Source organism: Homo sapiens, chromosome 10 (genome assembly GCF_000001405.40).
Source record: "Homo sapiens chromosome 10, GRCh38.p14 Primary Assembly".
NCBI lineage: Eukaryota > Metazoa > Chordata > Mammalia > Primates > Hominidae > Homo > Homo sapiens.
In genome coordinates, this window is record NC_000010.11 from 60,389,089 (window position 1) to 60,404,229 (window position 15,141).

Below are 15,141 nucleotides of genomic sequence, written 5' to 3' on the forward strand. Positions count from 1 at the left end.
AGTGCATTTCACCTTGACTGGGCTGTGAAGAAACTACTTTTGTAACTCCCTCACAGCACCTTTCCATGTCATGGAAACATGCCCATGCCTATATAAAGTGAAGCACACTTTCCGCATAGCCCTGCAATCACCCCACAGGAGAAAACCGTCCCTCTTGCCTTGCCCATCCTATGGCCATGTTCTGCCATAGGGTTTATCATCTGTTCCCAATTTACACACCCAATTTACACTCTACCCAGCATGTAAAAATAACCCTTAATGCTTCTAACAGATGCCAGAGGGAGATTAAAACAAAAAGAATCCAGGCAAGATATATGCTCTGGCATACATAGATACCTTTTTCTTCCGATCCCGGGACCGTTTGCGGTGTTTCCTTTTTTTCTCAGGCTCTTCTTCAGCATTGATTTCTAAATCCCTGTTTTTCTTTAATTGTGAGGCTGCATGAGCCATAATGCATTTAAAAAGATCCTCTCAAGCACACACGGCTTCCTTGTAAAAGGTGATATCCTCAGGCACCTCTAATCAGGCTTACAGCAGCATTCCAATCACTAGAGAGAAAGCTTTGACTAGAAGCAGGAAGATATTCACAATGCAAAGATGCTGGAGAAGCTGAAGCTTTTAAAAACCCAAATGATGGTGTCCGGACTTCATCCTACACCTTCCTCTACCTGAACCTTTACAGGAGAGTGCAGCCATCGTAATGCATTTACCGTAGTGAAGAAGACAGCTGGGACAGAGGAAGCTGTATTATGGCTGTATCCCCTGCCACCAGCTGGAAGTGTCTAAGTGATTCCTCGGAAGGGGGAATGCTGCAAAGGATGCTTCTCCAAAGGGGAAGAATCAAGAGTCACCACACATGCAGAAGCAAAAATCCAGCGCTAATTCTGAAAACCTATTTTAGAATCCTTTGAAAAAAAGAAAAGGCTGCAATTTATACATCACCACTAGATCTACACGGAGAATAATTTAACCCCTGATAGAATGGAGCTGTTCCTACTTTAGTTCAACTGCTGATGGTGACAAAATATATAAAATAAGATTTCAAAAAACACACTAAATTTTGCTATGGAGATCCTGACTGCATTACAGGGAAAACAATGCATGTATTGCCTGTCTCAACAGTGCATCCTTTATGCTGAACTATCAATCTAAATGCATTTTGTGGGGAGGACTACAGAAGGGCTTGTTGTCTTTTAAAAACAACATGCTGATTACAACACATCATACAGAAAGACGTGAGCATATTGGTGTATGGAACAGATGCCTGATTCATAGGAGGTTCCCCAGGACTCTCCTCTCATGGGGTCTGAGGGTCAGGAATCTGTGCTGTAATCAGTGTTTCTGAGTCACTGAAATGCAGATTTGCTTTCATGTTAGGGTTTGCTTCAATCACCTTACTATTTTTGCCACCTGAGTTCTCAATGACTGCAGCCTCTGAATATTCATTATGTGAAGTGAAGCAGCAGCAGTGCTCAAGGCCTGCTGGGGTGTCTTCTGCTAGGATGCACACACCGGAAGAAATCTAATAAGTCGGGAGTCATTTGCACACATACTACACAGTATTCACAGTAAGCGCTTTAGCAAGAAACTGCTGAAATGTCAGGCTGGGCCTAAAACATATGAGACCTAGTAAAAAAAAGAACACACACACACACACACACACACACACACACACACAAACAACAATTTCACCAAGAAAATGAGTCAGAAAAAAAAAAAAGATGTTCTGATGAAAATACTTTGTTAGCATGTGTGCTTCCGATACAAAAGTCCATAACTTTGGCGGTCGGTGCATTTGACTTTGTAGGGCTGAAAGTGTAGGTGTGTAAAGGACACAGCACCAAGTCCAATGCATCATGTGAGGATTTGGTTGGGGTTCTCTGGAGCTGTTGTTTGTCTGCTTCACAAAGAGTGCCAAGTGTGAGTTCCTGCAAACAACTTTTACTCACCATACTTCTAGATTTGGGGTTCAAAGGTCTTTCCTCTTTTCCTCTTGTAGGACGCTTTATAGTCTCTGCGAAGCAGTGATAAAAATGGGAAGGGAAAGAATCAGGGACCATGGCATCCCATTCCTACTACCAATGGACTGCGCACTTCTCTGAGGCCTCACGGTGAACCACAGGGAAACCACGCTGGTCATAGAGTTACCAAGGGCCTACTATGTGCACCGATGCTCACATGCTTGACTTCCACACAAACTATCTTCATGAAGAAAGAGTTCTGGAAAGTTTCTCCATTGCCTATGAAACCATACAAAAATGGAGAAAAATGAAGGTGGGGGATTAAATGTAATTCAGCTCCAAAAGCAGATGAAAGGTATTTGGGTCTTTGTAGTAAAAATGAGTGTTTTTCTACTAAGATATTTTACTGTATTAGTAACAGCTGGGGCAGAGTAAAAATTAAAACTTCGTATGCATTTTCCCAATATAAATCGTCTTATACTTTTGAAAAACGTTCATACAATTTCTTTTATTTTCAGCAAGTTGAAGAGAACAGCCAGCTAAAAAGCTGGCGTCTTTCCCACTGGCTCCTGGATCATCTTTTCTTTCTTTATAGACGCTAATGATACTTTAAAATATATTTAGAAGTGTGCTTGATCAAGTAACTTCTCCGTCTGAGGCTGGCAAAGCACTATACTTTCTCATTGATTTCTATCGGCAAAAGTATAGTTGGAAATTAGGAAAATAAGCCACAGGTATTTTTCAACATACTTCTCTCTAGAATAACTCTTTGCTTCCCCCAAATGTTCAGAAGTTGAGAATGTGTCATGGCTTTTTAGGACTCTATAATGTGACTTTTTTGTTGCCTTGGATTTTCCCTTATCTCAGTAAGTGGTTAGCCCATCAAAAATAAATCCTAAGGTATAGCTTGCTCAGATTACTTTTTTAACAGAAAATGTGATCTTTTATCTTCCATTTCTAAACTAGAACTTTGAACAGTGACTCTACTAAGAAAGGCAGCCCTGTGGGTCCTAGGTTTTGACTGTGATATTACTAAAGGCTAAATCCCTTTCTCCCTACACAGCAGACATCCTGACAAGTAACTCTCAAGCTCCTTGTGTACTTATTCTCAACACAAAGGCATTGACTCAAGATAGCCACAAATGCCAGTTTCCCCCCAAAACTGAATTGACAGTTTTATCAATAGTTCCAGAAAGCCTTTATTATAGCTGAAATGAAAACATTAAAACAACTTTTAAAAACTTTATTCCTTGACTAAAGTTTTATCAAAAATGTCCACTTAAATTTCAAGAACTTATGGTCATTTGGGAGATTAAAAACTGGTATGAATCTTTAAAGTACAACCAATCGTCCAACTGGTACAAGCTCATGTGTCTGAGAAGTGGGGCAGATCCCTGGTAGCAACAAGAATGAGATGCAAACATGGCCTTAGAGGAAACAACAGTACAAGGTCCAGTCAGGCCGACGGTCACCTCCCTCTACAGCAACTTCTCCAGTCCTACTACTTGCCATTGACCATGAGAATGTTTACATAGGATTTACATAGGATGGGCGTGGCCCATGCACGGAATGTCAAAGCTATTAAAAGCTTAGGGTATGCCGGGCGCGGTGGCTCATGCCTATAATCCCAGCACTTTGGGAGGCTGAGGTGGGCAGATCACTTGAGGTCAGGAGTTCGAGACCAGCCTGGCCAACATGGTGAAACCCCATCTCTACTAAAAATACAAAAATTAGCTGGGCGTGTTGGTGTGCACCTGTAATCCCAGCTACACGGGAGGCTGAGGCATGAGAATCACTTGAACCTGGGAGGCGGTGGTTGCAGTGAGCTGAGATCACACCACTGCACTCCAGTCTGGGTGACAGAGCAAGGCTCTGTCCCTTGGCTCCCCACTCCCTCCCCCAAAAAAGAAAAAAAAAGCTAAGGACAAAAATTCTTAAGTGACTTCCCTTTCTCAAGAAAAAAAGAAAAAATCTGTTCTTGTTTTATAAAAGTCCCAGGTACAAGAATTCCTAAGCCATGCTTCCAAAATGTAGTACAGAGAGATCTTTCAAATTTTTATTAGCTGAAGAAATCATTCTTCAAATAAGTCCTACAGGAAAGGTACTTATAATAAACATAACAGCGGAGCTGCATGGCTGAATGGAAAAATGGTATCCTGGAGCCCCAGCTCTTTGGCTCTCCCAGCCCTCCTCCAGAAGGCAGCTTTGGTGAGCACAATTTGAAAGCCACCATACTGCCCCAAAGAGTCTCAGTGTTTTCCCTGCTTGCAGCTTTGTTACTAGAAGTTATGTCAAAAAAGTGATTCTCCCTGCTAAAAATTGTCCGAAATAATTTTTTTTAATTTATTACCAGAACTAACAAGTTTCATGTAGAGTGCTTCCCGCCTGGGCATTATTAGAGCATGAATCTTCTATAAAAACAATAAAAATATCTTTCCATGTTGGGCATATGGAGTAATGGGCATACTCCAGATAACATCTAATCCAGGAATCAAACAATTGTGACTAAATATTCCACCAAAAATAAAGCCAAATCAGTTCATTAGGATGCCTTAAAGACTTTAGATATCACAGCCAAGTATTTCTCCCCGCTCATTTTTCACATACACCTTTCCAGGATTTCAAGAAAAGCTCTAAATATTAATTCAGCCAATTAATAACTTGACTACTCTCTCTTGTCATTTCATGTTGTGTGTCTACCTTGTTGAGCTGAGTTGACACACAAACTAATAACAACATATGCGGTTTCCACAGAGATGACACTGTCACTTGGGGATTTTGAAGTTACAAGAGCTGTGCACATTTAAAAAATATTACACTGTACTATAAAGAAGGAGAAGATGGGGAGTATATAGAATAATGGAAGATGGAAGTAAGAAAGAAACTAAAGAGAGAAATGGTTCCAGGGCTGCCAGGGAGGGTGTGCCTCCTCAACCCTAATCCAGGTTCCTGGTAATGAGGCAAGTGTGTGTTTTGATGAAATGAGAACGACTTCATGCTGCACCCACTTCAGTTTTCTCAGAAGCAGAGCAGCCTCGCCATAAGAGATAGTCAAAATATTTCTTCTTCACAAAGAAATCCGGATCCACGATCATTTCATTAATTATTGGCATCCTAGATGATATCAAGAGACCTAGAGCAGGTTTGGAACAAGGTGAAGGAAAAGGAAAGAAAACAAGCGCTAAACTTGTCAATGGTTATAAATGACAAAATAAAAAACACACCTGGAAAATTTTTAATTCACAGTCTCATATTATTTTTCACTTTTAGATGAGACATATGAAGTTCTTAAAAAACTGTGACTGGATAGCATTGAGGGACTGGTAGCCATTCATACACCCCTTGTAGGGGGTGGCACCTCTGGATAACAAGCACTGGCCTTGGTGCCATCTGTCTTAGCACTTAGTCTGCCCTCTTTCCCCATCTATCTGACTATCCAGCTTGACCTCAGTGCTGGAGAGAGAGCCAGCTGGTCCCAAGCATGCCAGCTGCCTCTGTGACCTCACATGGGCAGACAGGAACAGGCACATGAGGAGGCTTCCCCAAGGTCTCTCCATCACACCCACACTGGCCTGCAGAGAGGAGGAGATCCTCCGTTGCACACAGAAGGCCCCCACAACCATATCTGTGGTGTCTGTTTAACCCAAAGGAGTAGACTGGTAGTGCCTGGCAGAGTTCTGAGTGCAAAGCAGGCACCAAGAGAGGAGTGGGAGGAAGATGAACCACATGCCACTTCCTCTCTGTGCTCTGGCTCTTGTAAAAGGAGGCAGCTGGACCAGATGACTTCGATGACAGTCCTCACTCTTCTAGAATACTGTGATTTGATGTGATAGGAGGGTTTGGGTGTTTGCAAATTTAAAAAAATATATAAGGAAGTTTTATTCAAGCAGAGTTTATATATAATCTGCACTGGCCAATACAGTAGCCACTAGCCATATGTGGCTACTGGTAGGGAAATGTGAGTAGTGTAACTGGAGAACTAAATATTTAGTTTTATTTAAAATTTCAAATTAAAATTGATATTCAATTCAGATACTAGAACACATGCAAGTGTGTTTGGAACAATTTGGATATGCAAATCTACTTTTCTAACTTTAAATTTTATGATATAACATACAGATCAAATATTTCTGACAAAAATTTTGCATCCAAATTGAGACGTAAAATACATAACAGGTTACAAGATTTAGTACCAAAAAATGCAAAGTAGCTCAATGATTTTATATATTGATTCATGTTGAAATAATATTTGGGATGTGTTCAGTTAAATAAAACATATTATTAAATTAATTTCACTTTCTTAAAGCTTTTTAAATGTGGTTATTCGAAATGTGAAATTAGATGCATGACTTACACTCCATTCCTACTCGACAGCACTCGTCTACATAAAGAACTTACACAGTACTAACAAAAAGAGAGCCCGATCTGTCAGAAATTGTCTTCCTGAAGGCAGGTGTTTCATCAAACAAGCAGAGAACACTTAGCAATCAACTACTATGCCTCTTTCTTTCTTTCTTTCTTTCTTTCTTTCTTTCTTTCTTTCTTTCTTTCTTTCTTTCTCTCTTTCGTTCTCTCTCTCTCTCTCTCTCTCTCTCTCTCTCTTTCTTTCTTTCTTTTGTAGAGGTGAGGCATGAAGATATGTCCTCAGGCACTTGTGCCGAAAGAAGCATTCGTGTGCTCATGGACGTGTTCCCTCACCCTGCTGGTCACTGTGTTCAGCACCAGGGACATATAGAGAAATGAGACTTGGTCCTTGCCCTCAAGTTTCCATGGGCGAGAAAGACAAGGACACCAATAATTAGAACACACAGACAGGTGCTACAGAAGCAGGGATGGGGTAACGTAAAACAGAATGAAGAGGTCAGCACTCAGCACAATGCTTTCTAGGTCAGATCTCTTTTCGCTACCCATGAAACTTACAATTTCACAAGTGACCCCTTGATATTCTAGTCAACATGCCCAACTGCTCATAACCTGAACAGAGAATACAAAACTCCCTTTACGCCCTGGCTACTACTGTTAGTGCTGGTGATACAATGGGGAATGAAGCCGATAAGATCCCCTTTTCAGAAGCTTCAATTCTTGAATATCGAGCCAGGGAGTAAACAAATAAAAAAATGAACAAGATAATTTTAGATAGTAACAAGTGCTATGAAGAAAATAAATTAGTATGGGTGAATTGAAAGTGACCAGATAGGGAACAATTGTTTTTGAACTCTCTGCTTCCTTCCATGTTTACATTCCCCAGGAAAAATAAATCAAGACAGTGAGGAGCCAGCTGAATCAGGTATTTCACTCTATTAGGGTAGTAATTCTCCAAAAATTGCCCTCTAAACCAAGAAATTCATTTAATAGTGAAGACTGACTGGTTTCTCAAGTAATGTGTTCAATTCAAATATACTTATTACTGAAGATAATAGATATGCTTTGGTAACACTTATCTCTTAAACTATTTGTATAATTATAGTTTCCATCACCTTTATTAACTTATAGCTTAATAACAATTCAAAAAGACTGATAAAGTATAACCACTGAGTAATGAAATAAATTCTCCTGTGTACCTTGTGGAAATAAGTCTTGTTGTTTCATAGTCAAATGTAACATTCTATGAAATGATTTCTTCTGATAATTCAATAAACTCTCGTAATTTAATGTCTATATAGTAATTATATTTAAGCTGGCCAAAAGGAAATATAATGAAAGTAACTAAGTAAGGCAAAATAGCTCTTACGCCAACTTTGTCGCTAAGTAGCTATGAGACCTTACAGAGACCTTATCCTACCTAGTTTCTGTTTCTGTATCTGTAACATGAAAGGAATTCTTAACTCTCCCAACATACACGCTGTGATGCTGAAATACAATTACAGTAAGGATGAAGTGATTGATTTTTGCATCCTTTTATGTTAGTGAGTTCTGACCAAGATGTAAGGAAAGCAAATTCACTTTCAAAACATTTCTTTCAAGAAGCAACTTAAAGGCAAAGGTACAAAGGAGATTGTATTTGAAGATTCAGGAGACTGTTGGCCCAGGAATCATTTGCTGACTCTGTGTAGGAGGAATGGAGCAGCACATATAAGAAAGCAAAGGATCTTATCTCTAGAGAATGAAGCATTTAATTCGTTGATTTAGGAGGTCATACTTATAGTAGGATTAAAAAAAAAAAAAAACTAAACACTACTCCAGATGCTATAATGAAAATCAGTCAAATTTCAGACTAAAACTCAGATAATAATTCTTTAGCATATTGTGGAACATATCCACCATGCAGAAATTTAAGTCTAACAAAAAGACATCTTATTTTCTTGGATTTAGCAATGAACTGACTTCCTGCCATGGAAAGGGCTACATGTAGAGTTTATAGCCTCATCCTTCTGTAGAGTGGAAATAACACCTGCTTCTTCCCTATCTTACTAGTGTGTTTCAATAAGCAATGTCTATGAAGCAAGACGGACATCACAGAGAACAAAAACATTAACACGCAAACACAGGACATCATCTTGTTGGGGAGACAGTAACACAGATTGGCACTCAGGGTTCCTGAGTAGATTTGGGATTCACCCTCTTCCTACTTGTCCTTGAACTTGGCAAGTGTTAGCAGGTTTTCTCTTTCATGTTGTTTTGGAAGGCAAATTGGAATCAGACTAATTGAGTTTCATGTTATATGTTCCACAACTTTGCAACTTTTTCCTTGCCCTTCCATTAGATCATGCCAATATAATCACAAGAACGATTAAAGTTTGAATATTCAAAACAGTCTGTCTGGAATATAAGGTCCTATGTTTTGGAGATAAAGGTGATGAGGTCCTTTCAAAAAATACAACTCGAGAACAATTTTTTCATTCTTTCCCAATATCTTTTAAAAAGGGGCTGAGAGTGAACAGCATTGTTTGTAATACTGTGAGGTATTCGTTGATTCAGGCAGATTTCATCCTACTTATCTTTTGTATCTTCTAAGACATGAGTCAGCAAACATTTTTGTAAAGGGCCAGAGAGTAAATATTTCAGGCTCCAAAGGCCAGGTGGTCTCTATTGCACCTAATGGACTCTGTGAAAAAGCAACCAGAGACAATATGTAAGGGTATCAAAATGTCTCTCTAATCCAATAAAACTTTATTTATGGACATTGAAATGTGAGTTTCATATAACTTTCAGGTGTCACCAAATATACTCCTTGTTAATTTCTTTCTAACCATTTAAAATGTAAATAACATTCTTAGCTTACAGGCTATACCAAAATAAGGCTGGATGTGGCCTGCAGGCCTGTTTGCTGACTGCTCTTCTGAGGTAGCACATTGTTAATAACATATCATTCTGAGGGTCTTTGGGAAAGGGTGAATGGACAGCATGGTCAAAACCTGATGCTTGGAATATTTATGTGTACATACATGTATATGTGCATACCTGTATGCATATACACACAGGTATATGTGATATGCATACATGTATGTATACATGTGTGGATGTGTGTATTCACATAATACCCATGAAAATTTGTCCTCTGGATTTGAACATGATCACTGACATTTCAGTGATGGAAAAACGTATGTTGCTATGTACATTTTCTATACCATGTCCACACAGATAACGTTTCTTTAATTCACTCATTTAACAAATATTTATTGGGTACCTTCTTTAATGAAGCAGCATAATCCAAACATTATTTAAGACACCCAAACTCAACAAATGGTCAGCAAGCATAAGTAAGAAAACAATTTTAAGTAGTACAGGTGATTGCATATGGCATTCACTCAATGGTCATCTTCCCTGGAGTGAACCTCTAACAGTGTCATAAACACAATGCCCTGTATGCAATACATAGCATATCTGGTTCACTATGTCCAGTTCCTCCCCTAGGGTGGGGAGAGGGCATAGGAAGTTCTGATGCTTTATATTTTATTTGTAATTTCCTATTATATACGACACATATCTTACTTCAATTACTTTGTAGAGCACATAAATTACTTCAATTACTTTTAGGGCAACACATGGGAATACATAAATATTTATGGGGTATCGCCTATGTATGTAATACTGTACTAAACCCAGTGGAAAATTAAAGAGAAAATGCATAATCTTTTTAAACATCAGAATCATGATTACAGACTTACAGGCTTCTTTTTGGCATTATTTCATTAAAAAAACTAAACTTGGAGGTTTGTCAACAGTTAATGAGTGTTGCAAATTTTAAACAATTATCTGGCCATTAAAGATGTGGAAGTTATGGAAAGAACGAGCTCAGGTCTGTGACCTAAAAGAAACTCTATCTACTCTGAAAGTGAATACATTGTCCTTTAAGAAATGTAAGATGCTTGTTCCCCTTCTCTCACCCCATCCTCCTCCCTCCCACCACGCATGCACAAAATTGTTATTCAGAGAAAGGGAAGGGCCAGATGGTTTTGGGGATTAGCAATGAGGAAAGGCCCAAGTTTCACCTCAAGGTTGTTATTAAATTCTAGCGCAGATTGGCAGGGATACAAAACCAGGGCCATCGGAGAGCTCTCTGGGAGTCTTGGTCCAGTTCCTAATGAGCAGGTGTTGACATGTAACAAGCTGCCTGAACAACGGAGCTGCAGGCAAGGAGCCGCTACAGTTACCCAGGTGGACTGAATCTGCCCCAGTGCTTCCGCCGGCACAAGAAAGCTTGCACTAAACTCCGTACACTTAGCCATCAGTAATCAGTATCTAGGTTTTGCTCCTTCCCGCAACAAACCAAATAATTTAATGAAAAAATTTAAATTGTGGTCTTTTCTGCAGAGGTGGTGATATCGCAACACTTTGCTCCACTCTAAAAATTCTTTCCAGCATACATCTAATTTAAATCAAATTTAATTTGGGTTACAGAAAGTTTCAATATCCCTGGGCATTACCGAGTGTCCGTTGCATTAGCCCTTTTCTAGATGAAAATTAGCTTGAACAATCTATTCAATGAAAACAAAATATAAATCAAAACCTCCAATACAGTGTGTGTGTGTGTGTGTGTGTGTGTGTGTGTGTGTGTGTGTGTGCAGCCATGGCACTAAAATCTAGTAAGATTTGGCTAAAGTCTGTACTACACCAGTGATAACAGTGGGATTTGCTAAATAGAAATACCATTTTACTACAGATGTGTAATGGATATTACTTTGTCAGTGAGCTCTTCAGTCAGACTGGTGAGACAAGCACAGGATAACAACCAGTGGTTTAAAACAGATGCGATATTTGTGTCTATTTTTAACAATAATTTTCTAGCCAATTTGAGTTTTTAAAAAGATTTCAGATCCTATGAATAGGAGTTATGGGAAAGGAATAAGAATGCTGATTCGGCTTCCAACCAAAATCTTTTACAAGTCTTTCTCACAGTAATGTCAAATAAAAAAGAAATCATGCTTATTTAAAAAGAATTGCCCCACTTTATGAGTACTTGTGAGTATTAACAGCAGAAACAACAATCCTAAGGTAACTACTGCATTTCATGATAGCATATTCTATCAAGGTGGCAATAAAACCAGTCTTGGGGATAAGCAGATCATTCCAAGGTTTTTTTTTTACATTACAATAAAAACTTTATTTATAAAAGCAGGTGCAGTCTGCAGGTGCAGTTTGCCTTTAGATTCTAAAGAAACAAGTCTTGCTTCAGGTTAGGGGAATTTCCTGTCATATCTTGAATTATATTTTATTTATTTTTTAATTTTTAAGTTCTTGGGTGCATGTGCAGGATGTGTAGGTTTGTTACACAGGTAAACGTGTGCCATGGTGGTTTGCTGCACCTATCAACCCATCACCAAGGTGTTAAGCCCAGCATGCATTAACTATTTTTCTTAATGCTCTCCCTCTCCCCACCCCACTTCCCAACAGGCCCCAGTGTGTGAAGTGACTCTGCAGGCTTTCTAAAGCTCAAGAGCTCTTCCTGCATTGAGGGTGGCAACAAAAAAATAAAAATAATTTTGAAAACTGTGGCTGTGTAGAGCTTTTCTGTAAAAGCCATTTTTATTCATTTTTCCTGCCTTCAACATATATTCATTCTAAAAATTTCAAATCGTGGATTTAAAAATCAGAAGAACAAAAAATATACATTATGCTAAGTGAAATAAGTCAGTCACAGAAAGACAAATACTGCATGATTCCACGATATGAGGTATCTAAAACAATCTACTTCATAGAATCAAAGAGTGGAATGGCGGTTCTCAGGGGCTGCGGAGAGTGGGAAATGGAGGTTACTAATCAATGGGCATAAAATTTTGGTCAAGCAACATGAATAAGCACTAGAGACTTGCTGTATATCTTTGCACTGATAGGCAATGATACTAAACTGTACTGTACACTTACAAATTTTGTTAAGAGTGCAAAGATCATGTTAAGTGTTCTTAACCACAATAAAATAAAATTTTAAAACTGCCACTCAAAAAGCACAGGATAAATAAAAGGAAAATTTCAGCTAGGAAGAATTTTTTAAAAATTGTATTGCCACTATTCAGAAATGAGTACCATTAGTATTTTGTTGTATATTATCCCAAGCATCTCTTTATGTTTATATGTATTTAAATGTAACTATTTTACCAAGAATATAATCATTCAAGTAGTTTTACAATCTACTTTAAAATGTATTATGTGTTAACATATATAATGAATATCCATGCAAATCACTAAGTCCTCTTCTATAACTTTTAAAAGGTTGTATAATATTCCATGTGATGTACATGTCATTTTTTAAACCAGTCCCTTTCTATTACACATTTAGATTGCCTCCAATTTTTTTTATGAGAGAAACAATGCTATAAATGGCCACTTATCACCAGATGAGTTCATATACCCATTAAGTAACTTAGGATAAATTTCTGGAGGTAGATTTCAGGAAAGGTGAAATCAACCTGACTTAACGGCTAGGCTAAAATATATACTGAAGAGACTGGTGGAATTAAACTGTATTTCTATCATCCCATTCCCAACTCTACTTATATATTCTCTGTCCAAGAATTTTCTGTGACAGTTGGCAGACAGAATGGGGACCGGGAGAAATATATTATCTATGCTATGTTTCATTTTACTTACAACTTATTAACAGCTGTAAATTATTTAAAACCCAAGCTGTTTTTTAAACCCAAAGTCAAAATATTCACGATAATATTTACCAGTGCCACATTTTGAATTATTCAAGTATTATGGATCATAGAGCAGTAATATTGATCAAAAAAGAGCTTAGAACTATACTGGTTTGGGGTTGTGTGGATAACCAAAATAAATGATTTATAAAACTAAGAATATAAATAAAAAAATGCATAAGTATTAACGGGGTAAATGGTTTTGATGAGACACCAAAGAATTTACTGCTCAGTAAGGCCTGGGAGGATGCCTGAGGATTACTGTATCATAACATTGATGGTAACATTAGACTACTTACATGAACTGTTAAATTCATAACAAATGGTGTATACATTTGTAATATGCCTTAACATGCAGGAGACTGAAATAAATGATCCTATATGCACACTCACTTGGAATTGTTGGTGAACTATATTTTTCCTCCCTATAAGTCTGAGTTGTTTATGTGACTGGCTTTAGGCAATATAATGTATAAAAAAGAACAAAAGCAATTTTGCACTAGTCCAAGCCTAGGCCTCAAGAGAATTTGCACACTTCCATTCTGTTTAGGAACATGGCCAAGCTACCATGTCAAAAAGCCTGGGTTAGCCTGGTAGATAATCAGAGACATGTGGCCCATCACCCCCCACCCCAGACAACAGCCAGCCAAGCCCCAGCAGCAGCATCACCTAGCAGACTGGCAGGTAACCAAAGACGCTATTTGTGGGAACCTGCCTGAACCATAAGAACTGCCTGGCTGATTCCAGCCCAGTGGCCAGCCTACAGTTACATAAGTGGTTATTATTTTAAACCACTAAGTTTGGGGTGGTTTGTTATGCAGTGCAAGTAACTGATACCAAAAAAGGCTGAGAATATGAATCACAAATACTGGGCATAAAAGAGGGACTATCACTACAAAACATATAGATAAGAAAAAGGAAAGTAAATATTATGAACAACTTTATGCTAATAAATTGAAAATTTAGATAAAATGAATATATTTCTCAAAAAATACAACTTATCAAAACTGACACAAGATGAAAAGGAAAATCTAAGGAGCCTATGTAGAAATTGAAATTACTACAAAAACAATCATTACAAAAACAATTACACAAAGAAAATTCCACACCTATATGGTTTTGCTGGTGGTTTCTATTGAACATTTTGGGGGAAAAATCAATATCACACCAACTGTTTCAGAAAACAAAGCAAATGAGGACACTTCAATTTGTTTTATGAGGCCAGCATAACCTTTGCACCAAACCTAGTAAGCAAATTACAGATATGCACACATACACACCCCAGACTGATCTCTCTCATCAAGAGAAATGTAAAAATGCTTTACAAAATATTAGCAAAATCAAATTTAATAAAGTGAGGCTTATCCCCGAATACAAGCTTCATTTACACATAATGGTGAAATATTGAATGCTTTTCCTCTAAGACTGACAAAAGTATTGGCCCTTTTTAATTTTTATTTATTTATTCATTTAATATTGAGATGGAGTCTTGCTCTGTCGCCCAGGCCGGAGTGCAGCGGCGCGATCTCGGCTCATTGCAAGCTCCACCTCCCGGGTTCACACCATTCTCCTGAGTATTGGCACTCTTACTATTTCTATTCAACATTATACAGGAGACCTTAGCCAGTATAATAAGGCAAAGAAAAGAGAGCCACAAGATTGGAGAGGAAGAGTAAAACTGTCTCTTTTTACAAATGACATGATGGTTAACACAGAAAATCCTAAAGAATTTATGAAACAACTCCTAGAACTAAAAAGTGTATCTTGCTTGGTTTCAGGATACAAGATCAACATACAGAAATCAGCTGTATTTTGTATGATGGCTGCAAATGATTGGAAAATCGAATTTAAAAAAAGAACAATTCTACTTTTTAAAGTATCAAAAACCATAAAGTACTTTGGATAAATTTAATGAAAGACATGTAAATCCTCCACATTGTGAACTATAATCATTGCTGAGAGAAATTAAAGATCTATATTAAGGTAAAAATCTACTACACTCAAGGATTGAAAGATCCAATATTATTAAAATGAAAATTCTCCTCAGAACTGTAGATTCAACATGATCCAATCATAACACCACAAGTTTTTTTTTAAAAAAA

The 15,141-nt window shown here is 37.9% G+C and overlaps 1 protein-coding gene across 4 annotated transcripts in view; it reads right to left on the reverse strand.

Moving 5' to 3' along the window:
- Positions 1 to 15,141, reverse strand: part of ANK3 (ankyrin 3) — a 707,231-nt gene that overhangs the window by 362,791 nt on the left and 329,299 nt on the right. For 2 of the 4 annotated variants that reach the window (NM_001320874.2, NM_020987.5), the window contains exon 1: positions 337 to 787. The exons of the other annotated variants lie outside the window; for them this stretch is intronic. In NM_001320874.2, the coding sequence (NP_001307803.1) occupies positions 337 to 450 (114 nt within the window). In that variant the 5' untranslated portion in view covers positions 451 to 787. Of the gene's footprint in view, positions 1 to 336; positions 788 to 15,141 lie in introns of those variants that run through there. 4 annotated transcript variants of the gene reach the window in all.